The following is a 25,096-nucleotide window of genomic DNA, read 5'->3' as shown; positions in this document are numbered from 1 at the left end:
ACAAGTGATTATTTTCTCCACCCTGACATATTTTATGTTCAACTTTCTAATTTCTAAAAATGGACCTACCATTGTCCTATTTATTCTTGCTTAAATCTTGATATTTTCTTTGAGTTCATGCTCCTTCGTATTCACTCCAGCTGTGATAAGTCACCAATCCTTTGGGTTTTTACTTACCAGTATTTCTATTTCTGTTTCTATAGCCTTAAAGCTGGAACTGTGTAGTCCCAGTTCCTCTGTGTAGCCCCCCAAGTCTGCTCTATTTCAATCTTCTCTTAAGGGAACTCCTTCCCTCCGTTTTTCTTTTCCTCCATTTGATACATCACACTTATAGATGGGGCATCTTCCCTAATTACTGGCTTCATCCTCAATTCCCAGGACCCATACCTTCACTGGCTTCCTAAATTTATTTAATAATTCTCATATACCTTTGAGAAGTTTCTAATGATAGGCAACAAATGAATATTGACTACCTTTCTTATTTTCCTTTATTCACCAAAATGATTTTTAGGATGTAGACAATCTGTATGCTTCAACATACACCAAACTTACCATTTTTGAAATATTTTACAATCTACTTGAAAAGACTTCTTTAGACCCTATATTCATGTATTGTAATATTTATCCTCTTTTATGGCTATACTCAAATGCCACATCACTATAGTGCCTTCCCTCATCACTGTAGCTATCTCTTTTCACTCTACTTATATTGTAGAGGATTTGTTACACTTCTTGAACTGCTGATCTCAAGCGATTTGCTTGCTTTGGCCTCCCAAAGTGCTGGGCTGACAGGCGTGAGCCACTGCACCTGGCCTGATTTGTTCCACTTCTACTATATGCATCACACATGCCTGATGCATATTTTAATGCACGTTGGATAAGGATCGGCTTTGTACGACTTCAGTCTTTCTTGATGTGTGACACCCACTTCTATTTTGGCTCCACTTTAACAAAATGAATAAGTGAGAAGGTAATACTGGAAACAGAACATAACTGTGACTAGGAATTTGGTCTTGACTCGCCATTTAATTTTCTGATGTGCATGACTGTTTTCTTCACATGTGAAATTTAACATGAGGTTGAAACTGGAGAATTTTATATTTTTCATGAAAAAGGCAATTTGGGAGAAAAGTCCATTTTCCTGAGGATAAGGTATTGTATGGTTTGACTGCTTTGCCTTGGCTGGTCAACACATTTGTACACCTGGATAGGCACAGTTTTCAGAAATCCTTTCAAGCATCTACCAATTCTCCTGTCTACAAGTTTACCTTCCTCCCATTTCTCATTCCTAATGACAAGGGAAATATCCAGTGTTATCTGAAGTGGTCATAAAAGACATTTTTTTTCTTTTTATGTGAGGAATTGAAACTTATGGCTTTAGATTATGGGGCTTACCATCAAGGAAAGGGCGTAGCGTGGTCAGAGGACAAAACTTCTTCCTGCATTTCTCAGGAAGTCTTTGATTAGTGTGTCCACCTAGGAGCAATTTTTTTTGGGGGGGGCGCTGGGAAATATACTTAAGTGATTAAATCCAAGTGTAGACATGAGAGCTTTACCTAAAGCCAGGTCTAATTACCATACCTGAGAATCAGGGAGTATTTAAAATTTGAGAAATAATTTTCTATACTTGAAAGTCACTTATGTAGGTAGGCCTCAGATTATAATAAATAACGTTTATTGTGCTATACTATGTGGTAGGTATGAGGTTAAGTATTTTTACCTATATTATATCACTTATTTCTTACAAATGGAGCAAGGGAGCAAGCAAGCAAGGGAGGTATTATTATCCCTATTTTATGTATTTATGTATTTATTTTTGATTTCTATTCTTTTGGTTTTTTTGTTGTTTTTTATTGATGTATCATAGTTGTACATGTTTTGGGGTACATGTGATATTTTTGATACATGTATACAATGTGTAATGATCAAATCAGAGTAATTTGGATATTCATCACCTCGAATATTTATCTTTTCTTTGTGTTGGGAACATTATAATTTTTCTCTGCTAGCTATTTTAGAATATATAATAAATTATTGTTCCCTATGATTTCTCCATTGTATAATTGAATACTAAAATTTATTATGTCTATCTACATATCCCCAGTTCAATAACTATAATTTCTCTGCTGTGCAATCAAATACTAGAACTTCTTCCTTCGAACGCTATATCCCTAATTCAATAACAAGTAAACTGAAGCTCAGCATGGTCTAGGAACTTTGTTACGTTAACACAGCAAGTGAGTGTTGCAGCCTGGATCCAAAAATCAGGCCTGGTCGACCTCAAAGTCCAGATTATTGACCTTTCTACCATAATGTATGGAGGTAAGTTTGTGAATTTATTCAAAAATCAGGCCTGGTCAACCTCAAAGTCCAAATTATTAACCTTTCTACCATAATATATGGAGCTAAGTTTGTGAATTTTCATAGTTTTAGGATTTGAAGATAAAAGAGGTGAAAATTTGGAAATGGTTTCTGGACTTTTGAATTTTGGCAAACAGCTATGTGATAAGTCCACCCTGCAGACCCACAACTTTTGGAAATAACTCTACTGTGATCTTCAGTAGCAGAAGCTGCTCCTGGGGTGGTAGAACACAAGGAAAACACACACTAGTAAAAATTTCATGTGCCTTCTTTGTTCTGTACATGTGTTTCTCTTGATTAGTATATGGTAGTATCCTCAAATCATAGTAACAAGTATACTTTTTCCAGTGAATTGCATGTGTATATTATTGTATAGTATAAAAGGCAATATTTCCATTTATTATCATCTGTGCTTTTCAAAGAAACTCTGTGAGTCCAAAAGGGCAGATAATAGAAGCAACTGCCCTTTCTCTCCCCCTTTAAATGCAACCCAATGTCAAAGTCCGTAGCATCCCCAGATGAGTGTATTAAAGGTGAGAAATTCCCAAAGTCAAACTCAGTAGCATCCTTGAATGAGTGTATTAAAGGTGATAAATTTATTTTATTTATGTTCTTTTTAACCTGTGTTCTCAGAAACAGAGACTACTGTATTTCATCCTACCTTAGTCTTGCTTAGCAGTTTCTCTTCTCCTTTGAGGCTCTTTTATTTTTAAATCATTGTTCATATCTTCTAATCTCCCCTTTCTCCCATTCTTCCCATATTTTTAATCTTGTTTTAACTTTATCTCTGTTCTACTTTTTCTGTATTTCAAATTGATCCATAGACTTTAGAAAAATGAGTTGAATGCTGGCTGTAGGCTGTCTTATCCCCAGCAAGAAACATGTTGTAAAGTCTTAGTACCTTCCCACTGGAAGATCATTAGTCATGGCTACTATGTTTTTAAATGAGAATTGTTTTAATTATGCATTTTAAAATTATTGGAAAACATAAGGGAGAGGAATGAACCATAAGTAATAAAGATTATTGACTTGAAGTTAAGACCTTACTATGATCTGGGATTATTAGTCTTACTTGTCAATCAAGAACTATCCACTTTCTATTCGTTTGTGGGTATCTAATATGGTTATATACACAGAAGTAATGATAATTGATATGAAAAGGTCTCCTCCTGTTATATCAATTTAGGTATTTTTCACACATTGTATACCTCATTCTTCTCCTATTCAATTTTCACTAATTCCTAAAGGGTCAGGTCAATGTCCTTGGCATAACCTCCTCCACCTGTTCTTAATGGCAATCGTCTCTTCTGCCCTCCAATATCTATAACACTTTTTTCTTTAAAACTCTTTGAATGTTTATCTTAATACTCATTTGATATATATTGTATACCACATATGATTGTTTGTTATATGTACAATACATGTTTTTTCAACTTTTTTTGGTTCTTTCTATTTACAGGAATTAGAGAAAGAACAAATCAGTGTGAAGGAGAATTGTCAGTAAAATTACAAGAAAAGATTGAGATCATAATTGACCTTTGAGGATAATAAAATTTAAAGACCAAAAGGATGGACTTCACAGAAACATGACCTTAGGTTGTTTTTGCAGTTGTAGTAACTGGTTATATGACCAACAAAATATGAAGAATGGGTACAAATTCTGATAGTAATGATCAGTCACTTTGCAAATATAAAGTTACTATTTACTACTGTATTGTACAGGTTCAATAATCTTTGTGTACACATTTTATGTATTTATTGTCAGGCTGCTATATAATTCAGTATTTATAATAGATACTATGTATAGCAATCTATGGTTAGTTTTGGTCTTAACCAGGAAAAATCACTCTTTTGAGTTTTGCTGTTTTTACTAGATTATTTTTACTGGATGATTGCTCATATTATTTGATTATTATTGCAATTTGTCTTTCTGGAATAGGAAGCAAGAGGCCTGAATTCTGGTTCCTATTCTATCAATTGTGTGAATTCTGGAAACTCAGTTTACTTTTCTGGGCCTCATGGTTTTCATCTGAATGATGACCAACTTGGATAAAATGGCCTTTATATAATTTCGTAGGCATTTCCCTTCCCAAGGGCTTGAGTCTTTTTCAACAATTATAGAGTTTTCCGGTCCCTCTTCCCAGTGCCTCAGCACCTTGCTATTCATGTTCATCTGATCAGTTGTTTGCATGCTGACTTACATTACCCTGATGGGCAGTACCTGTGGCTGTTTCTGCTCCCTCACCCAGTCCATAGGCTTCTGGTTGTAAAAAGTGTGCATCTTGAGACTGTGGACAGTTAGCTCCAGAGGTGACAGTATAATCACTTCACGTAGAAGAGGATAGAGAGAGACTCATGCCAGTGGTGGTGAGCAAGTATTAGAGATATGATGTGTGCCTCTGTGAGTTTTGGGGTCTAAGATAAATTATGGCACTAGGAAGATGGTCCTTTGTGTCAGAAGAACTGGAGTTGTTGGTGCAAAAAAGTATGATGTCAGCATAGCAGTTTTATTTGTACCTCAGCAACTTCTAAAATAATCTCTATTAAGTGTTTTCAGGAACTACTTTCTACTATAGGAAAATCATTGAGGTGAGTATCCATCTGGACACAGAGAAATATAACACTGTTTTCTGCTCACCCTCCACTTCACATATAAATACAACATGTGTTAAAGGACTAAATTTCTAGTGTCACAGTTTGTACTTTATAGTTTGAAGTCAATAAGAAAGCTCATATACCTTCCTAAAAGTCACTTGTTAATGTTTGATATTAATCTAATTTTATCATAAATTAAAAGTATAAAACTACAAATTTCTTAAAGATAAAATATCCAAATGGATTCAGTCAAATTAAGCATGATAATATCAAATATCAGAATAGGTTACCATGCAGGAGGTACTGAGTACTTAAAAGGATGGGGAATGCAATGAACATAAAAGCTGGTACCAAGGGGAGGAGGAGACAGTGATGAATTAAAACATTATCTTAACTAATCCAAGTGCTGGTCTTCTATACTTTCATGTGTATAGACAAAGAGAAACTGCAGAGATTTCTCACAACCTCTGTGGCCATTTTATGCATCTTAGCAAAAACTCTGGTGAAATCCCTCCAAAACATATTTATTAGGCATGGAAAAAGCCTTACATGACAGGTGGCATAGGCTCCTTATGAAATCACTGCAGGATGGGAAGCCATTTAGGGCTTCGTAATTGTGAAAGATTGTATAGAAACTGAGGCACTTAAATAGCAGTGAGCATGAGAAAATGTGGTAGATAATGGTGGTGATTCTATTTCTTGTGAAAGTCCACTTACTCTGTTCTGCTACAGTTGTGGGCTTTCCGATTTCACATACCCCAGTCTCTATATTCTGTCTCAATCCACAGCCTACCTCAACTAAGTCCGTCCCAGGCACCTCTTACTGCAGGTGATAATCCATCTGTTAATCATGTTTTCCTCTTATGTCTACTTTCTGTCAGAGAATTGTGGCTGCAAACTGGGAAGGGAAGGAAATTATAAGAATATGTATAAGTACAAATGGAATATGTTGGAAATGAGGAATAGTTAATATCACAGGTCATTTAAACACCTGATGAATTTCATGGATAGTCAGGAATCTTGTTCTTACCTAATCTGTTAATTTTAGATCAGACATTACACTGAAAGTATTGATGATGGGTTTAAATCAGGTTGCAGCTCACATGTTGTGATAATATTATGTTGATTTTTTGTTTTTAATATGTGAGGAACAGAATAACTGTATACTATTTATTCATAGTGACATTGCAATATTGATTTTAGTACATATTATTATCTTCATAATCACAATTTCCTCCCCATTTTCTTAGTTCTCATAATTTTAGCCACAGCCCAGTTGGCTGGACCAATGGATGGAGAGAATCACTCAGTGGTATCTGAGTTTTTGTTTCTGGGACTCACTCATTCATGGGAGATCCAGCTCCTCCTCCTAGTGTTTTCCTCTGTGCTCTATGTGGCAAGCATTACTGGAAACATCCTCATTGTATTTTCTGTGACCACTGACCCTCACTTACACTCCCCCATGTACTTTCTACTGGCCAGTCTCTCCTTCATTGACTTAGGAGCCTGCTCTGTCACTTCTCCCAAGATGATTTATGACCTGTTCAGAAAGCGCAAAGTCATCTCCTTTGGAGGCTGCATCGCTCAAATCTTCTTCATCCACGTCATTGGTGGTGTGGAGATGGTGCTGCTCATAGCCATGGCCTTTGACAGTTATGTGGCCCTATTAAGCCCCTCCACTATCTGACCATTATGAGCCCAAGAATGTGCCTTTCATTTCTGGCTGTTGCCTGGACCCTTGGTGTCAGTCACTCCCTGTTCCAACTGGCATTTCTTGTTAATTTACCCTTCTGTGGCCCTAATGTGTTGGACAGCTTCTACTGTGACCTTCCTCGGCTTCTCAGACTAGCCTGTACCGACACCTACAGATTGCAGTTCATGGTCACTGTTAACAGTGGGTTTATCTGTGTGGGTACTTTCTTCATACTTGTAATCTCCTACATCTTCATCCTGTTTACTGTTTGGAAACATTCCTCAGGTGGTTCATCCAAGGCCCTTTCCACTCTTTCAGCTCACAGCACAGCGGTCCTTTTGTTCTTTGGTCCACCCATGTTTGTGTATACATGGCCACACCCTAATTCACAGATGGACAAGTTTCTGGCTATTTTTGATGCAGTTCTCACTCCTTTTCTGAATCCAGTTGTCTATACATTCAGGAATAAGGAGATGAAGGCAGCAATAAAGAGAGTATGCAAACAGCTAGTGATTTACAAGAAGATCTCATAAATGATACAATAAGCCCTTCTTGTTAAACATGATATGGCTTTATGTTTCTTTCTTTGATATTTTAGATTCAGGAACTATGAGACATTATGTATTGATTTGAATGTTATTAGACCTGTAACATAATTCTTATCTGATGAATATATGATGAATATATTCCTTGTTCAAAATGAGTCATAAATTCAACACATCTCTACATCTATATTATGCCCATTTAATTTCTTTCAGCAATGTTTTGTAGTTTTTGGTGAACAGGTACTTTATGCATATGTACTTTATATTTATCTCTAAGTTTTATATTTCTGATGCCCTTTTAAGTGACATTTTTATTTCAATTTACAATTGTTTATTCTTAGCTTATGGGCACATAATAGATCTTTGTTTGACATTATATCCTGTAAACTTGCAAAACTTATTAGTTCCATCAGTTTTTTATAGGTTATGTAGGATTTTCTTTATAGATGATTATGTTGTCAGTGAATAAAGACATTTGCTTTTAAAATTCTAGTATGAATTCACTATATTCATTTTGTTGAATGCTGAGTAGAATTAGTTAGAGCAGACATCTTTGACTTGTTCCTGTTATGAAATATATTAAATATTTCATCATTAAGTATAATGTTAGCTATAATTTTTTTCATAGGTACTCTTTAACAGGCTGAGAAAGTTTTCTGTATTCACAGTTTGCTGAAAATTTCTTTTATCTTTAGTCAGGAATGGATCTTGGATTTTGTAAAGCTTTTTCATTTCAGAATCAGGGTAATGCTGGCCCTTTAGAATGAGTTGGGAAGCATCTGCTCTTCTTAAATTTTCTGCCATAATTTTGTAGAATTCATATAATTTTTTTCTTTAAAAAGGGAAGTACTTAAGTATTTTTTCCCTTAAGTTACCCATAAGTAAATCTAAAGGAAAGTGGGAAACTTTGATACGCATTGGTTGCCCCCTGGTGGAGATTTCTGGGTTCTTGATTATTTTAACACTGGAGATAGAATCTGGTGGAATGATGTCAATGCTACCGTGATTAAGAGGTGTGTAGGAAATGCTTCATGTAAGAGAGAAAATAGTCTTTATGAGAATCTGCCTGGTGGAAAGGAGTTGGTGCAACAATAACAATATAAATTAGTGAAAAATTTTAAATTGACAAATAATAATTGTATCTATGGGGTACAATGTAATGTTTTGATACATGTTTAAATTGTGGAAAGATTAGGTCTATCTTATTGACATACATATCTTTTTTGTGGTGAAAACATTTAAAATCTACTCTGTTAGTCATTTTGAAACATACAATACCTTGTTATTTATTACAGTCACCATTCCGTGCAATAGTTCACTGAAACTTTGTCTAACTGAAACTTTGAACCCTTTTATCAACATCTACCTTTTCCATGTCTACCCCCAACTCCTAGCCTCTGATAATCACCATTCCATTCTCTACTTCTATGAATTCAACTTTTTCAGATTCCACATATCAGTGAGATCATGTGATATTTGTCTTTTCGTGCCTGGCTTATTTCACTTAGCGTGATATCTTCTGGGTTAATTCATGTTGTCACATATATCAGGTTTTCCTTCCTATTAAGGCTGAGTAGTATTCCATTGTATATATACACTACATTTTCTTCATCCATTTGTCAGTTGATAGACACCTGTGTTGATTTCATATTTGGGTATTGTGAATAATGCTGCAATGAACATGAGCCTGGAGATATCTCTTCAGCATATTGACTTAAATTCCTTTGGATATATACAAGGAAGTGGGATTGCTGGATCATATAGTAATTCTAGTTTTAGTTTTTTGAGTAACTTTTATCTATTTTTCATAATAGTATTAATTTACATTTCCACCAACAGTGTACGAGGGTTCCCTTTTCTCTGTATCCTCTTCAACACTTGTTATCTTTTATCATTTTGATAGTAGCCATTCTAACAGGTATGAAGTGGCATCTCACTGTCATTTTAATTTGCATTTCCCTGATAATTAGGATGACAAACTTTTTTTATGTTAGTCATTTGTATTTTTTTTGAGAAATGTCTATTTAGGACCTTGCCCATTTTTTGACTTGGTTATTTGTTTTCTTGATATTGAGTTGAGTCCCTTATATATTTGGAGATTAGCCTTTCATCAGATGTACGCTCTGCAAATATTTTCTCACAACTTGTAGGTTGTCTCTTCACCATATTGTTTCCTTTGCTGTGCAGAAGCTTTTTAGTTTGATGCAATCCCATATATTTTTGCTTTTGTTGCCTGTGCTTTGGGGGTTATATCCAAGAAATCTTTGACCAAACCAACATTGTGGAACTTTTCCCCTATGTTTTCATCTAGTAGTTTTACAGTTTTATGTTTAAACCTTTAATCCATTTTGAATTGATTTTTGTGTATGGTGTGAGATAAGGATACACACCATACACATTCATGTTCTTCTGCATGTGGATATCTAGTTTTCTTAACACCATTTATTGAAACAAATGTCTATTCTTCATTACGTTTTCTGGGCACCTTTGTCAAAAATTTATTGGTCATAAATGCATGAGTTTATTTCTGGGTTCCTTATTCTGTTCCCCTGGTCAATGTGTCTGTTTTTGTGCAAGTGTCATGTTGTTTTGATTACTATGGTTTTGTGATACGTATTTGTTTTGGGGGGGGATCAATTTTTATTTGGGTTTCTCACAGTGGTTAGAGAACAACCACAGCACAGGAAATGCATCGCCAAGATTGCCCAGAAAACTGACCAGCTGCATCTTATTGCTTAAAAATACACATATTCACAATAACTGACAAATGGTGATGTGCCTCACACAGGAATGTGTTCACATTTGCAATGCTGTGTACAGACTTCACTTCGTTCAACATAGATTTTGGTTTAATGGAATTCAAATGCGGATGCTTGTTCACAGCCTTGGATTTGTCTGTTTTTGGAGAGATACAACCTCCATGAGTATATCTGCATGAAAACCACAGACAATGAAGGTATTTCTTCATTGATTTATTTATTCTTTTGACTGTAGCAACAAACCCTGGATGACATCCTTCCTTTTAATTCACCTGGAAACCAGACTCAATCAAATCTCCCTGGTCCCCTCACTATTCCTTCAAATTCCCTATTTCTATCTCTTCCTGAGGAGGGTAACCTCCTGTAGCAGGGGTCAGACTGTGACTTGGGAATCAAGCCTAGGTCTGCAGGTTGCCTTTTCATCTTCTTGTAAAATATTGTAGGACACTGCAGTGAATCCAACAGTTAACACTCAGAGCAGTTCCCTGCTCTAACTCAGGAAAGAGACTTCAGAGGGTCAGGATTCATCCATTTGATCAGTTAACTGAGAAGGATTCATTTCGGTAAAACTTGTTCAGCTTTGAGACACTTCAGTGAGTTGTTTGAGATTTTTTTTTAAATTATATTTTAAGTTCTGGGGTACATGTGCAGAACATGAAGGATTGTTACATAGGTATACACGTGCCATGGTGGTTTGCTGCACCCATCAACCCATCATCTACATCAGGTATTTAACCCAATGCTAACCTTCCCCCAGCCCCTACCCCCAGACAGGCCCCGGTGTGTTGTGTTCCCCTCCCTCTGTCCATGTGTTCTCATTGTTCAACTCCCATTTATGAGTGAGAACATCGGGTGTTTGGTTTTCTGTTCTTGGATTAGTTTGCTGAGAATGATGGTTTCCAGCTTCATCCATGTCCCTGAAAAGGATATGAACTCATCCTTCTTTATGGCTGCATAGTATTCCATGGTGTATATGTGCCACATTTTCTTTATGCAGTCTATCATTGAATGGGCATTTTGGTTGGTTCCAGGTCTTTGCTATTGTGAACAGTGCCACAATAAACATATGTATGCATGTGTCTTTATGGTAGAATGATTTATAATCCTTTGGATATATACCCAGTAATGCGATTGCTGGGTCAAATCATATTTCTAGTTCTAGAACCTTGAGGAATCACCACACTGTCTTCCACAATGGTTGAACTAATTTACACTCCCACCAACAGTGTAAAAGCATTCTTATTTCTCCACATCCTTTCCAGCATCTGTTGTTTCCTGACTTTTTAATGATCGCCATTCTATCTGGCGTGAGATGGTATCTCATTGTGGTATTGATATGCATTTCTCTGATGACCAGTGATGATGAGCTTTTTTTCATATGTTTGTTGGCTGCATAAATGTCTTCTTTAGAGAAATGTCAGTTCATATCCTTCACCCACTGATGGGTTTGTTTGTTATTTTCTTGTAAATTGTTTAAGTTCTTTGTAGATTCTGGATATTAGCCCTTTGTCAGATGGATAGATTGCAAAAATTTTCACCCATTCTGTAGGTTGCCTGTTCACTCTGATGATAGTTTCTTTTGCTGTGCAGGAGCTCTTTAGTTTAATTAGATCCCATTTGTCTATTTTGGTTTTTGTTGCAATTGCTTTTGGTGTTTTAGTCATGAAGTTTTTGTCCATGCCTATGTACTGAATGGTATTGCCTAGGTTTTCTTCTAGGGTTTTTTATGGTTTTAGATCTTATGTTTAAGTCTTTAATACATCGTGAGCTAATTTTTGTGTAAGGTGTAAGGAAGGGATCCAGTTTCAGTTTTCTGCATATGGCTAGCCAGTTTTCCCAACACCATTTATTAAAAAGGGAATCGTTTCCCCATTGCTTGTTTTTGTCAGGTTTGTCAAAGATCAGATAGTTGTAGATGTGTGGTGTTATTTCTGAGGCCTCTGTTCTGTTCCATTGGTCTACATATCTGTTTTGGTACCAGTACCATGCTGTTTTGGTTACTGAAGGCTTGTAGTATAGTTCGAAGTCAGACAGCGTGATGCCTCCAGATTTGTTCTACTTGCTTAGGACTGTCCTAGCTCTGCGGGCTCATTTTCGGTTCCATATGAAATTTAAAGTAGTTTTTTCCAATTCTGTGAACAAAGTCAGTGGTAGCTTGATGGGGATAGCATTGAGTCTATAAAAACTTTGGGCAGTATGTCCATTTTCATGATATTGATTCTTCCTATCCATGAGCATGGAATGTTTTTCCATTTGTTTGTGTCCTCTCTTATTTCCTTGAGCAGTGGTTTGTAGTTCTCCTTGAAGAGGTCCTTCACATCCCTTGTAAGTTGGATTCCTAGGTATTTTATTCTCATAGCAGCAATTGTGAATGGGAGAGTTCACTCATGTTTTGGCTCTCTGTTTGTCTGTTTTTTGCATATAGGAATGCTTGATTTTTGCACATTGATTTTGTATCCTGAGACTTTTCTGAAGTTGCTTATTAGCTTAAGAAGATTTTGGGCTGAGACCATGGGGTTTTCTAAATACACAATCATGTCATCTGCAAACAGAGACAATTTCTTTCTCTTGCCTGATTGCCCTGGCCAGAACTTCCAATACTACGTTGAATAGGAGTGGTGAGATAGGGCATCCTTGTCTTGTGCTGGTTTTCAAAGGGAATGCTTCCAGTTTTTCACCATTCAGTATTGGCTGTGGGTTTTTCATAAATAGGTATTATTATTTTGAGATATGTTCCATCAGTACCTAGTTTATTGAGGGTTTTTAGCATGAAGGGCTGCTGAATTTTGTCGAAGGCCTTTTCTGCATCTATTGAGAGAAGCATGTGGTTTTTGCCATTGGTTCTATTTATATGATGAATTATGTTTATTGATTTGCGTATGTTGAACTAGCCTTGTATCCCAGGGATGAAGCCGACTTGATTGTGGTGGACAAGCTTTTGATGTGCTGCTGGATTTGGTTTGCCAGTATTTTATTGAGGATTTTTGCATCGATGTTCATCAGGGATATTGGCTTGAAATTTTCTTTTTTTGTGTGTGTGTCTCTGCCAAATTTTGGTACCAGAATTATTCTGGCCTCATAAAATGAGTTAGGGAGGATTCTCTCTTTTTCTGTTGTTTGGAATAGTTTCAGAAGGAATGGTACCAACTCCTCTTTGTACCTCTGGTAGAATTCGGCTGTGAATCCATCTGGTCCTGGACTGTTTTTTGGTTGGTAGGCTATTAATTACTGCCACAATTTCAGACCTTGTTATTGGTCTATTCAGGGATTCAACTTCTTCCTGGTTTAGTCTTGGGAGGGCGTATGTGTCCAGGAATTTGTCCATTTCTTCTAGATTTTCTAGTTTGTGTAGAGGTGTTTATAGTATTCTCTGATAGTAGTTTGTATTTCTGTGGGATCAGTGGTGGTATCTCCTTTATCATTTTTTATTGCATCTGTTTGATTCTTCTCTGTTTTCTTCTTTATGATTCTGGCTAGTGGTCTATCTATTTTTTTGATATTTTCAAAAAACCAGCTCCTGGATTCATTGATTTTTTTTTGAAGGTTTTTTTGTGTCTCTATCTCCTTCAGTTCTGCTCTGATCTTAGTTATTTATTGTCCTCTGCTAGCTTTTTGTATGCTCCTGCCTCTTGAGTTCTTTTAATTGAGATGTTAGGGTGTCAATTTTAGATCTTTCCTGCTTTCTCTTGTGGGCATTTGGTGCTATAAATTTCCCTCTACACACTGCTATAATTGTGTACCAGAGATTCTGGTATGTTATGTCTTTGTTCTCATTGGTTTCAAATAACTTATTTATTTCTGCCTTAATATCTTTATTTACCCAGTAGTTGTTCAGGAGCAGGTTGTTCAGTTTACATGTAGTTGTGTGGGTTTGAGTCAGTTTCTTAATCCTGAGTTCTAATTTAATTGCACTGCGATCTGAGAGACTGTTATGATTCCCATTTTTTTTTTGCATTTGCTGAGGAGTGTTTTACTTCCAAATATGTGGTCAATTTTAGAATAAGTGCAATGTGGTGCTGAGAAGAATGTATATTCTGTTGATTTGGGGTGGAGAGTTCTGTAGCTGTCTATTGGATCCACTTGGTCCAGAGCTGAGTTCAAGTCCTGGATATCCTTGTTAACTTTCTGTTTCGTTGATCTGTCTAGTATTGACAGTGGGGTGTTAAAGTCTCCCACTATTATTGTGTGAGGGTCTAAGTCTCTTTTTAAGTCTCTAAGAGCTTACTTTATGCATCTGGGTGCTCCTGTATTGGGTGCATATATATTTAGGATAATTAGCTCTTCTTGTTGCATTGATCCTTTTACCGTTATGCAATGCCCTTATTTGTCTCTTTTGATCTTTGTTGGTTTAAAGTCTGTTTTATCAGAGACTAGGATTGCAACCCCTGCTTTTTTTTGCCTTCCATTTGCTTGGTAAGTATTCCTCCATCCCTTTATTTTGAGCCTATTTGTGTCTTTGCACGTGAGATGGGTCTCCTGAATACAGAACACTGATGGGTCTTGACTCTTTAGCCAATTTGCCAGTCTGTGTTTTTTAATTGGAGCATTTAGCCCATTTACATTTAAGGTTGATATTGTTATGTGTGAATTTGATCCTGTCATTACGATGCTAGCTGGTTATTTTGCTGTTAGTTAATGCAGTTTCTTCATAGTGTCAATGGTCTTTACAATTTGGTATGTTTTTGCAGTGGCTGATACCAGTTGTTCCTTTCCATGTTTAGTGCTTCCTTCAGGAGCTCCTTTAAGGCAGGCCTGGTGGTGACAAAATCTCTCAGCATTTGCTTGTCTGTAAAGGATTTTATTTCTCCTTCACTTATGAAGCTTAGTTTGGCTGGATATGAAATCCTGGGTGGAAAATTCTTTTCTTTAAGAATGTTGAATATTGGCCCCCATTCTCTTCTGGCTTGTAGAGTTTCTGCTGATAGATCTGCTGTTAGTCTGATGGGCTTCCCTTTGTGGGTAACCTGACCTTTCTCTCTGGCTGCCCTTAACATTTTTTCCTTCATTTCAACCTTGCTCAATCTGATGACTATGTGTCTTGGGGTTGCTTTTCTTGAGGAGTGTCTTTGTAATGTTCTCCATATTTCTGAATTTGAATATTGGCCTGCCTTGCTAGGTTAGGGAAGTTCTCCTGGATAATATTCCGAAGAGTGTTTTCTAACTTGGTTCCATTCTCCCCATCACTTTCAGGTACAGCAATCAAACGTAGATTTGGTCGTTTCACATAGTCCCATATTTCTTGGAGGCTTTGTTCATTTCTTTTCATTCTTTTTTCTCTAATCTTGTCTTCTTGATTTATTTCATTAAGTTGATATTCAGTCTCTGATATCTTTCTTCCGCTTGACCGAATCAGTGCTTGATCCTTGTGCATGCTGCATGAAGTTCTCATGGCGTGTTTTTCAGCTCCATCAGGTCATTTATGTTCTTCTCTAAACTAGTTATTCTAGTTAGCAAGTGGTCTAGCCTTTTTTCCAGGTCCTTAGCTTCCTTACATTGGGTTAGGACATGCTCCTTTAGCTTGGAGGAGTTTGTTATTACCTACCTTCTGAAACCTACTTCTCTCAATTCGTCAAACTCATTCTCTGTCCAGTTTTCTTTTGTTCCCTTGCTGGTGAGGAGTTGTGATCCTTTGGAGGAGAAGAGGCGTTCTGGTTTTTGGAATTTTCAGCCTTTTTGCTCTGGTTTCTCTCCATCTTCATGGATTTATCTACCTGTGGTTTCTGATGTTGGTGACCTTCTGATGGGGTCACTGAGTGGCTGTCCTTTTTGTTGATGTTGATGCTATTCCTTTTTGTTTGTTAGTTTTCCTTCTAACAGTCAGGCCCCTCTGCTGCAGGTCTGTTGGGGTTTGCCCTAGGTCTACTCTAGACCCTGTTTGCCTGGGTATCACCAGCAGAGGCTGGAGAACAGCCAAGATTGCTGCCTGTTTCTTCCTCTGGAAGTTTTGTCCCAGAGGGGCACCCACCAGATGCCAGCCAGAGCTCTCCTGTATGAGGTGCCTGTTGGCACCTACTGGGAGGTGTCTCCCAGTCAGGATACACGGGGGTCAGAGACCCACTTGAGGAGGCAGTCTGACCCTTATCAGAGCTCGAATACTGTGCTGGGAGATCTGCTGCTCTCTTCAGAGCCATCAGGCTTTTCAAAGATGCTTTAAGTCTGCTGAAGCTGTGCCCACAGCCACCCTTTCCCCTAGGTGCTCTGTTCCAGGGAGATGGGGGTTTTATCTATAGGTCTCTGACTGGGGCTGCTGCCCTTTTTTCAGAGATGCCTTGCCCAGAGAGGAGAAATCTAGAGAGGCAGTCTGGCTGCTGTGGCCTTGCTGAGTTGTGGTGGGCTCCACCCAGTTCAAACTTTCTGGTGGCTTTGTTTACACAGTGGGGGTAAAACTGCCTACTCAAGCCTTGGCAATGTGGAAGCCCCTCCCCCCACCAAGCTCTAGTGTCCTAGGTCAATCTCAGACTGCTGTGCAAGAATTTCAAGCCAGTGGATCTTAGCTTGCTGGGCTCTGTAGGGGTGGGACCCGCCGAGCCAGACCACTTGGCTCCCTGGCTTCAGCCCCCTTTCCAGGAGAGAGAATGGTTCTGTCTTGTTGGCATTCCAGTTGCCACTGTGGCATGAAAAAAAAAAAACCTCCTGCAGCTAGCTCGGTGTCTGCCCAAACAGCTGCCTAGTTTTGTGCTTGAAACCTAGGGCCTTGGTGGCAGAGGCACTGGAGGGAATCTCCTGGTCTGTGGATTGTGAAGACCATGAGAAAAGCATAGTTTCTGGGTGGAGTGCACCGTTCCTCATGGTACAGTCCCTCGGGGCTTCCCTTGGCTAGGGGAGGGAATTCCCCCAACCCCTTGCACTTCCTGGGTGAGGCAACGCCCCATTCTGCTTTGGCTCACCCTCCGTGGGCTGCACCCACTGTCCAACCAGTCCCAGTGAGATGAACCAGGTACCTCAGTTGGAAATGCAGAAATCACCTGCATTCTGCATTGATCTCACTGGGAGCTGCAGACTGGAGCTGTTCCTATTTGGCCATGTTGCCAGCAAATTCTGAGATTTTTTTCAAAAGTGCAAAGAAAGACATCTGAGGGGTGCTGACATATTCAGGTCACCTCAAGCCACATGCCAGCTTGCTTGCCCCTGTTGGATTCAGCAGAGGGAGATAGGCCTTGCCATACCTGTGGTGTCTGCCAAAGCTTCCTCCTGGCAATTCTTGGGAGTGCTGATACCTGGGCCACAGTTAGTCCAAGTTTATCACTGAAGATCCTATCAAAGTTTTGTCTGAAATTCCACTTTTGCCTTTTGTCCTAAGTGGTTGTGGACATTTCCAGGGGCTGATACCAAGGACTAGGAACAGCTGAGGGAGGCAGAAAGGTTCAGAGTACATCTCTATTTACAGGGAACAGAACACCGGCCTCCGAGAGTCCATGGAGCAATGGGAAAATTGCAGTGATTACTCATCACTGTGAAACTTCTACTTTGAATACAGTATCTTCTGGCAAGCATAGGGGACTGCAGTCGACAATGCTGCTGAATATACCTGAGTACATAGGAAGACATTTGTTTGGTAAACAGTCAATGCATACAATAAATTACCTTGAGAGGGCCATCTGTGCTCCAGATGTGAGAGTTCATGTGAATAGAATGGCCGCAATTCAAAGAATCTTCACAGGAAAACAGGGCTCAGAGCTCATCCACAATGGACAGACAGGGAGGGAAACAGGTGGAGGTTAGTTCACCACTTCCTCATAAGAAGGTAATAAATAGTTTGGTGAAATAAAATGGTAGCACTGAGTAATTGCGGGCTTCTGGATAGGCAGTCAGGTTGATTTCATGTTGCTACTGCTGGACTTGAGGGCTGGCTTGGCTGTGGTGGCAGACACAGCAGCAGCTCAGGATGATGGTGATGGTCCATGCCAGCCAGAACCACCAATGTTCATAGTAGTAGTTACAACACTGAGACTGCCCATAGCAGTGTCCTGTTGTGTCACAGATGTAGCTTTGATTGTTGGTACACACACAGGCTTCCTTATCCTGTGGGGGTTCAGCCCTGGCTGACACAGGGCTGGGCAGTGCCTAGAGGTGCAAGAGCTCCATGCCACCCAGGAGTCTTCCCTCCATACTCCTCCTGCTCCTCCGACCCAGCGTGGGCACCTCCCTCCACCCTTGCTGCACTTCTCCTCTACCCTCTTCTTCCTTCTTTTGTTCTTTTCCTGTAATATGTTTTGAAGTCAGATTGTGAGGCCTTCAGCTTTGTTCTTATTGCTCAAGAGTCCTTTAGTTATTCAGGATCCTTTGTGGTTCCATATAAATTTTCAAATTGTTTTTTCTATTTCTGTGAAGAATGACATTGAAATTTTGATAAATATTGCATTAAACCTATAAATCGCTTTGGGCAGTAAGGACATTTTAAGAATATTAATTCTTCCTACCCATGAACATAAAATATCTTTCCATGTATTTGTGTCATCTACAATTTTTCATCAATGTTTTATAGTGTTCAGAATACAGATCTTTCACCTCCTTGGTTAAATGTACTCCTAAGTACAATCCTAAATGTGCTCCTAAACAAAAAAAATACGTTTTTTTTGATGCTACTGTGAATGAGATTGATTTCTTTATTTTTGTCATATAGTTTGTTGTGAGTGTAAAGAAACTACTGAGTTTTGTACATTGATTTTGAATTCTGAAATTTTATTGAATTCATTTATCATTTCTAATAGCTTTTTGGTGGAGTTTTTAGGGTTTCCTATATATAATATGTCATCAAACAGAGACAATTTTACTTCTTCCTTTTCAATTTGAATCTTTTATTTCTTTATTTGGCTTAATTGCTCTGGCTAGGACTTCCAGAAATAAGTTGAATAGAAGTAGTGAGAATAAATATCCTTGTCTTGTTTTTGATCTTAGCAGAAAAGATTTCACTTTTTCATTGTTGGGTATGATGTGAGCTGTGAGCTTGTTATATATGTCCTGTTTTGTGTTAAGGTACATGCCTTCTATGCCCAATTTGTTGAGAGGTTTAGTCATGAGAGGATTTTGAATTTAGTCAAATGCTTTTTCTGCATATATAGAGATAGCTATTTTTTTATCCTTCATTCTGTTAATGTGGTTTATCACATTTGATTTGTGTTTGCTGAAACATCTGGAGGATAAATCCACTTTATCATGGTAAATGTTCTCCTAATATGTTGTTAAATTCTGTTTGCTAGTACTTTTTTTTGAGGACTTTTGTATCTGTGTTCATCAGGGATATTGGTTGGCCCATACTTTTCTTATAGTGTCCTTGTTTGCCTTTTTATTTTTATTTTTATTTATTTATTTTTTAAATTATACTTTAGGTTTTAGGATACATGTGCACAACGTACAGGTTAGTTACATATGTATACATGTGCCATGCTGGTGTGCTGCACCCATTAACTCATCATTTAACATTAGGTATATCTCCTAATGCTATCCCTCCCCCCTCCCCCCACCCCACAACAGGCCCCAGTGCTAATATCCGGAATCTACAATGAACCCAAACAAATTTACAAGAAAAAAACAAACAACCCCATCAAAAAGTGGGCAAAGGATATGAACAGACACTTCTCAAAAGAAGACATTTATGCAGCCAAAAAACACATGAAAAAATGCTCACTATCACTGGCCATCAGAGAAATGCAAATCAAAACCACAATGAGATACCATCTTACACCAGTTAGAATGGCCATCATTAAAAAGTCAGGAAACAACAGGTGCTGGAGAGGATGTGGAGAAATAGGAACATTTTTACACTGTTGGTGGGACTGTAAACTAGTTCAACCATTATGGAAGACAGTGTGGCGATTCCGCAGGGATCTAGAACTAGAAATACCATTTGACCCAGCCATCCCATTACTGGGTATATACCCAAAGGATTATAAATCATGCTGCTATAAAGACACATGCACACGTATGTTTACTGTGGCACTATTCACAATAGCAAAGACTTGGAACCAATCCAAATGTCCAACAATGATAGACTGGATTAAGAAAATGTGGCACATATACACCATGGAATACTACGCAGCCATAAAAAATGATGAGTTCATGTCCTTTGTAGGGACATGGATGAAGCTGGAAACCATCATTCTCAGCAAACAATCACAAGGACAAAAAACCAAACACCGCATGTTCTCACTCATAGTGGGAATTGGACAATGAGAACACATGGACACAGGAAGGGGAACATCACTTTAAAAAAAAAACAATAATGCTGATCTTTTAAAATGAGTTTGGAAATACTCTTTCTCCTTCAAGTTTTTGGAAGAATTTCAGAAGGATTGTATTATTATTTTTTAAAATGTTAGAATTCAGCAATGAGGTTTTCTGGTCCTGGGATGTTCTTTGATGGGAGATGTTTTATTATTGATATACTCTCCATACTCAGTATTGTTCTGTTCAGATTTTATCTTTCTTCTTGACTTTCTCTAGGTAAGTTGCATTTTTCTAGAAATTTATCTGCTTTTTCTAGGTTATCCAATTTGTTGGCTTGTAATTGTTTATAGTGGCCTCTTATGATCCTCTGTATTTCTGTGGTATTAGTTGCAATATTTCCTCTTTCATTTCTGATTTTATTGCTTTGAGTATTCTCTCATTTTTCTAGTCTAGCTAATGGTTTGTCAGTTTTATCTTTTCAAAGAACAAATTCTTAGTTTCATTGATCTGTTCTATTTTCTTTCACAGTCTTTTTTGTATTTGAAGGACTTGTATTTGTTAACTGGCTCAAGCCTGGACATTTGTTGAGGTGCTATGAGTCTCTATTGCTCTCATTTCTCTTCACTAGACATAGAAATTTTCTGATTACACGAATCAAATAAGACTAATAAGCTTCCCAGGGATGAATCCCACTTAAGCATGGCGAATTTTTTTGCTGTGTTTTTTTAAAAATAATATTTGCTAATATTTGGCTGAAGGTTTTTCCATCCAAGTTCATCAGGAGTATTGGTCTGCCATTTATTTTTATTATAGTGTCCTTCTCTGGTTTTGGTATCAGGGTAATGCTGGTTTTGAAAAATGAATTTGGAAGTATTCCTCTTCTTCATTTTTTTTGGAAGAGTTTGGGAAGGATTGGTGTTAGTCATCTAAGTGTTTGTTGGAATTCAGCCACCAAGCCATTCAATCCTGGGTCTTTCTTTTATGAGAGAACTTTCATTGGTGATTTAATTTCCTTATTCATGATTTCTTCTAAATTTTGAATTCTTCATGATTCAGTTTTGGTACGAGTTTATCAATTTCTTCTAGGTTATCTAATTTGCTGGTGAATAATTGTTTATAGTAGTATGTTATGATTTTTTAACTTCTGTGGTATCAGTTGTAATGTCTCTTCTTTCACTTCTGAGTTTGTTTTCTTTTTTCTTAGTCTATGTAAGAATTTGTTAATTTTGTTTATCTTTTCAAAAAACAATTCTTATTTTTATTGAAATTTTCAGTTTCTATTATATTATTTCTGCTCTGATCTTTGTTATTTGTTTCCTTCTGCTATCTTTGGGCTTGTATTGTTCTCTAATTTTCTCGCTCCTTTAGGCATAATATTAGGTTGCTTATTTGAGATCTTTTTTTTCTTTTTTGATGTAGGCATTTATTGCTATAAATGTCCCTCTTATAACTGCTTTTGTTGCATCCCATATGTTTTAGTATGTTATGTTTCCATTTTCATGCTACCTGATTTTAGAATATATTTCAAAGCATGGTGTATAGTGCTTTTAAAAAGAGGCTATATATAGGTATATATAAAAACAATACACACATTATATATAAACTATGACATGCTTGTAAAGAAAAGAGAACATAAAGTTTCTGAGGAAATAATTAGAAGAACAAGAGGATGCAAAGGGGTCTGTCAAAGATTCAGTGAAATGAGGGTTTTTGGATATTCACAGCTAATAGATTAATGCATTAGGAATGAGCAAAAAAATTGATGGTAGTCAAACAGAGGGAGGGAGGTAGATTTTGAATGATTCAAAGCAGGAGTGTTTTGAAGATAAACAGAATAACTAAAAAGAAAGACTCAGATGAAAAGCCTAGATTTAAAGCATTTGAATCAAGAGGTGGTAATCTAGGAATTAGGTTGATTTCTTTTTTTTTAAATTTGTGTAGCTTTTTATTTTATTTTTTATTGTACTTTAAGTTTTAGGGTACATGTGCACAAAGTGCAGGTTTGTTACATATGTATACATGTGCCATGTTGGTGTGCTGCACCCAGAAGACTGGTTAATTTCAATAACCTAAAAATCCACAAGGTGGGAGTGTTTCACTGAAGCCAGTTGTTAGAGAAACGTTAGAACCAACTTCCTTTTTTTCTGTCCCTTCTTCTCTGCTTTCTTCTTTTCTCCTCCTCCTCCTCCTCCCTTTACTCTCCTTCTTCTCTCTCTTTCTAATCATGAAAACAAACGAAAAAAACTATGAGCAAGAGCACAGAAAAAAGACTAGCAAAGACTGCAGTTATTGAAAGTATCAGATACAGAAAATAAAATAAAATAACTATATTTAGTATGTTTAAAGTAAAACAAAAAATTAAAAATATCATAATGGAACAGGAAACTCTAGAGAATGGCCAAGAAGATTAAAAGAAAACAAATAGAATGTCCATAGAGAATAACATAATTGAAATTTAAACCCAAATGAATGGTTTTAACAGAATATTAGTATGTTAGAAGCAGTTGAAGAGTGAACTAGTAAACTGTAATATAGGTCAGAAGGGGCTATCCAAAATGAACACAGGAATAAAGACATGGAAAATAAGAAACATGTAGTTAGGAGACATGGAAGACAGAGGGGGAAATGCTAAAAAGTTTTAAAGAGTGTTTCAGAAGGAGAGAAAGGAGATCATGAATCAGTGTATATATTTTTTTAATTTTATTTTATGTTCTGGGATACACGTGCAGAAAGTATAGGTTTGATACATAGGTAAATGTGTGCCATGGTGGTTTGCTGCACCCATCAACCCATCACCTAGGTATGAGGCCCTGCATGCATTAGCTATTTGTCCTGATGGTCTCCTACCCCCCGTCCCCCTGAGAGGCCCTGGTGTGTGTTGTTCCCCTCCATGTACCCACGTGTTTGTCCTGATGGTCTCCTACCCCCTGTCCCCCTGAGAGGCCCTGGTGTGTGTTGTTCCCCTCCATGTACCCACGTGTTTGTCCTGATGGTCTCCTACCCCTGTCCCGCTGAGAGGCCCTGGTGTGTGCTGTTCCCCTCCATGTATCCACGTGTTTGTACTGATGGTCTCCTACCCCCTGTCCCCCTGAGAGGCCCTGGTGTGTGTTGTTGCCCTCCATGTACCCACGTGTTTGTCCTGATGGTCTCCTACCCCTGTCCCCCTGAGAGGCCCTGGTGTGTGTTGTTCCCCTCCATGTACCCACGTGTTTGTCCTGATGGTCTCCTACCCCCTGTCCCCCTGAGAGGCCCTGGTGTGTGTTGTTCCCCTCCATGTACCCACGTGTTTGTCCTGATGGTCTCCTACCCCCTGTCCCGCTGAGAGGCCCTGGTGTGTGTTGTTCCCCTCCATGTATCCACGTGTTTGTCCTGATGGTCTCCTACCCCCTGTCCCGCTGAGAGGCCCTGGTGTGTGTTGTTCCCCTCCATGTACCCACGTGTTTGTCCTGATGGTCTCCTACCCCCCGTCCCCCTGAGAGGCCCTGGTGTGTGTTGTTCCCCTCCATGTACTCACGTGTTTGTCCTGATGGTCTCCTACCCCCCGTCCCCCTGAGAGGCCCTGGTGTGTGTTGTTCCCCTCCATGTACCCACGTGTTTGTCCTGATGGTCTCCTACCCCCCGTCCCCCTGAGAGGCCCTGGTGTGTGTTGTTCCCCTCCATGTACTCACGTGTTTGTCCTGATGGTCTCCTACCCCTGTCCCCCTGAGAGGCCCTGGTGTGTGTTGTTCCCCTCCATGTACCCACGTGTTTGTCCTGATGGTCTCCTACCCCCCGTCCCCCTGAGAGGCCCTGGTGTGTGTTGTTCCCCTCCATGTACTCACGTGTTTGTCCTGATGGTCTCCTACCCCCTGTCCCCCTGAGAGGCCCTGGTGTGTGTTGTTCCCCTCCATGTATCCACGTGTTTGTCCTGATGGTCTCCTACCCCCTGTCCCCCTGAGAGGCCCTGGTGTGTGTTGTTCCCCTCCATGTATCCACGTGTTTGTCCTGATGGTCTCCTACCCCTGTCCCCCTGAGAGGCCCTGGTGTGTGTTGTTCCCCTCCATGTATCCACGTGTTTGTCCTGATGGTCTCCTACCCCCTGTCCCCCTGAGAGGCCCTGGTGTGTGTTGTTCCCCTCCATGTATCCACGTGTTTGTCCTGATGGTCTCCTACCCCCTGTCCCCCTGAGAGGCCCTGGTGTGTGTTGTTCCCCTCCATGTATCCACGTGTTTGTCCTGATGGTCTCCTACCCCTGTCCCCCTGAGAGGCCCTGGTGTGTGTGTTCCCCTCCATGTATCCATGTGTTTGTCCTGATGGTCTCCTACCCCTGTCCCCCTGAGAGGCCCTGGTGTGTGTTGTTCCCCTCCATGTATCCACGTGTTTGTCCTGATGGTCTCCTACCCCCTGTCCCCCTGAGAGGCCCTGGTGTGTGTTGTTCCCCTCCATGTATCCATGTGTTTGCTCTCATTGTTCAACTCCCTCTTACGACTGAGAACATGTGGTGTTTGGTTTTCTGTTCCTGTGTTAGTTTGCTGAGGGTGATGGCTTCCAGCTTCATCCATGTCCCTGCAAAGAACATGATCTCATTTATTTTAACGGCTGCATAGTATTCCATGGTGAATATATATCACATTTTCTTTATCCAATATATCATTGATGGGCATTTGGGTTGATTCCATGTATTTTCTATCGTAAATAGTGCTGCAATAAACATATGTGTGCATGTATATGTATGTGTGTGTGTATATATATGTAGTTATAATATGTATATATATGTGTATATATATGTGTGTATATATATACACATATATATACATTTACATATATAATATCTGTATATATGTATATATATGTGTATATATATGTATGTATATGTATATATATATATTTTTTTGAGATGGAGTTTTGCTCTTGTTGCCCAGGCTGGAGTGCAATGGTATGATCTTGGCTCACTTTGACCTCTGCCTCCTGGGTTCCAGCGATTCTCCTGCCTCAGC

The 25,096-nt window shown here is 38.7% G+C and overlaps 1 long non-coding RNA gene and 2 pseudogenes across 1 annotated transcript; 2 read left to right on the top strand and 1 right to left on the bottom strand.

Moving 5' to 3' along the window:
- The first annotated feature begins 2,000 nt into the window (after nucleotides 1-2,000).
- LOC107986552 (uncharacterized) lies at nucleotides 2,001-4,075 on the top strand. The gene is made up of 2 exons (XR_001743907.1): nucleotides 2,001-2,322; nucleotides 3,821-4,075. It is a non-coding gene; the product is annotated as an uncharacterized LOC107986552 (long non-coding RNA).
- On the top strand, nucleotides 6,245-7,182 carry OR4F1P (olfactory receptor family 4 subfamily F member 1 pseudogene; annotated as a pseudogene).
- On the bottom strand, nucleotides 17,652-18,158 carry WBP1LP12 (WBP1L pseudogene 12; annotated as a pseudogene).

The sequence above is a fragment of the Homo sapiens genome, chromosome 6 (genome assembly GCF_000001405.40).
Source record: "Homo sapiens chromosome 6, GRCh38.p14 Primary Assembly".
NCBI lineage: Eukaryota > Metazoa > Chordata > Mammalia > Primates > Hominidae > Homo > Homo sapiens.
Note: the sequence above shows the minus strand (reverse complement) of the source record. Positions and strands in the feature narration are given on the sequence as shown.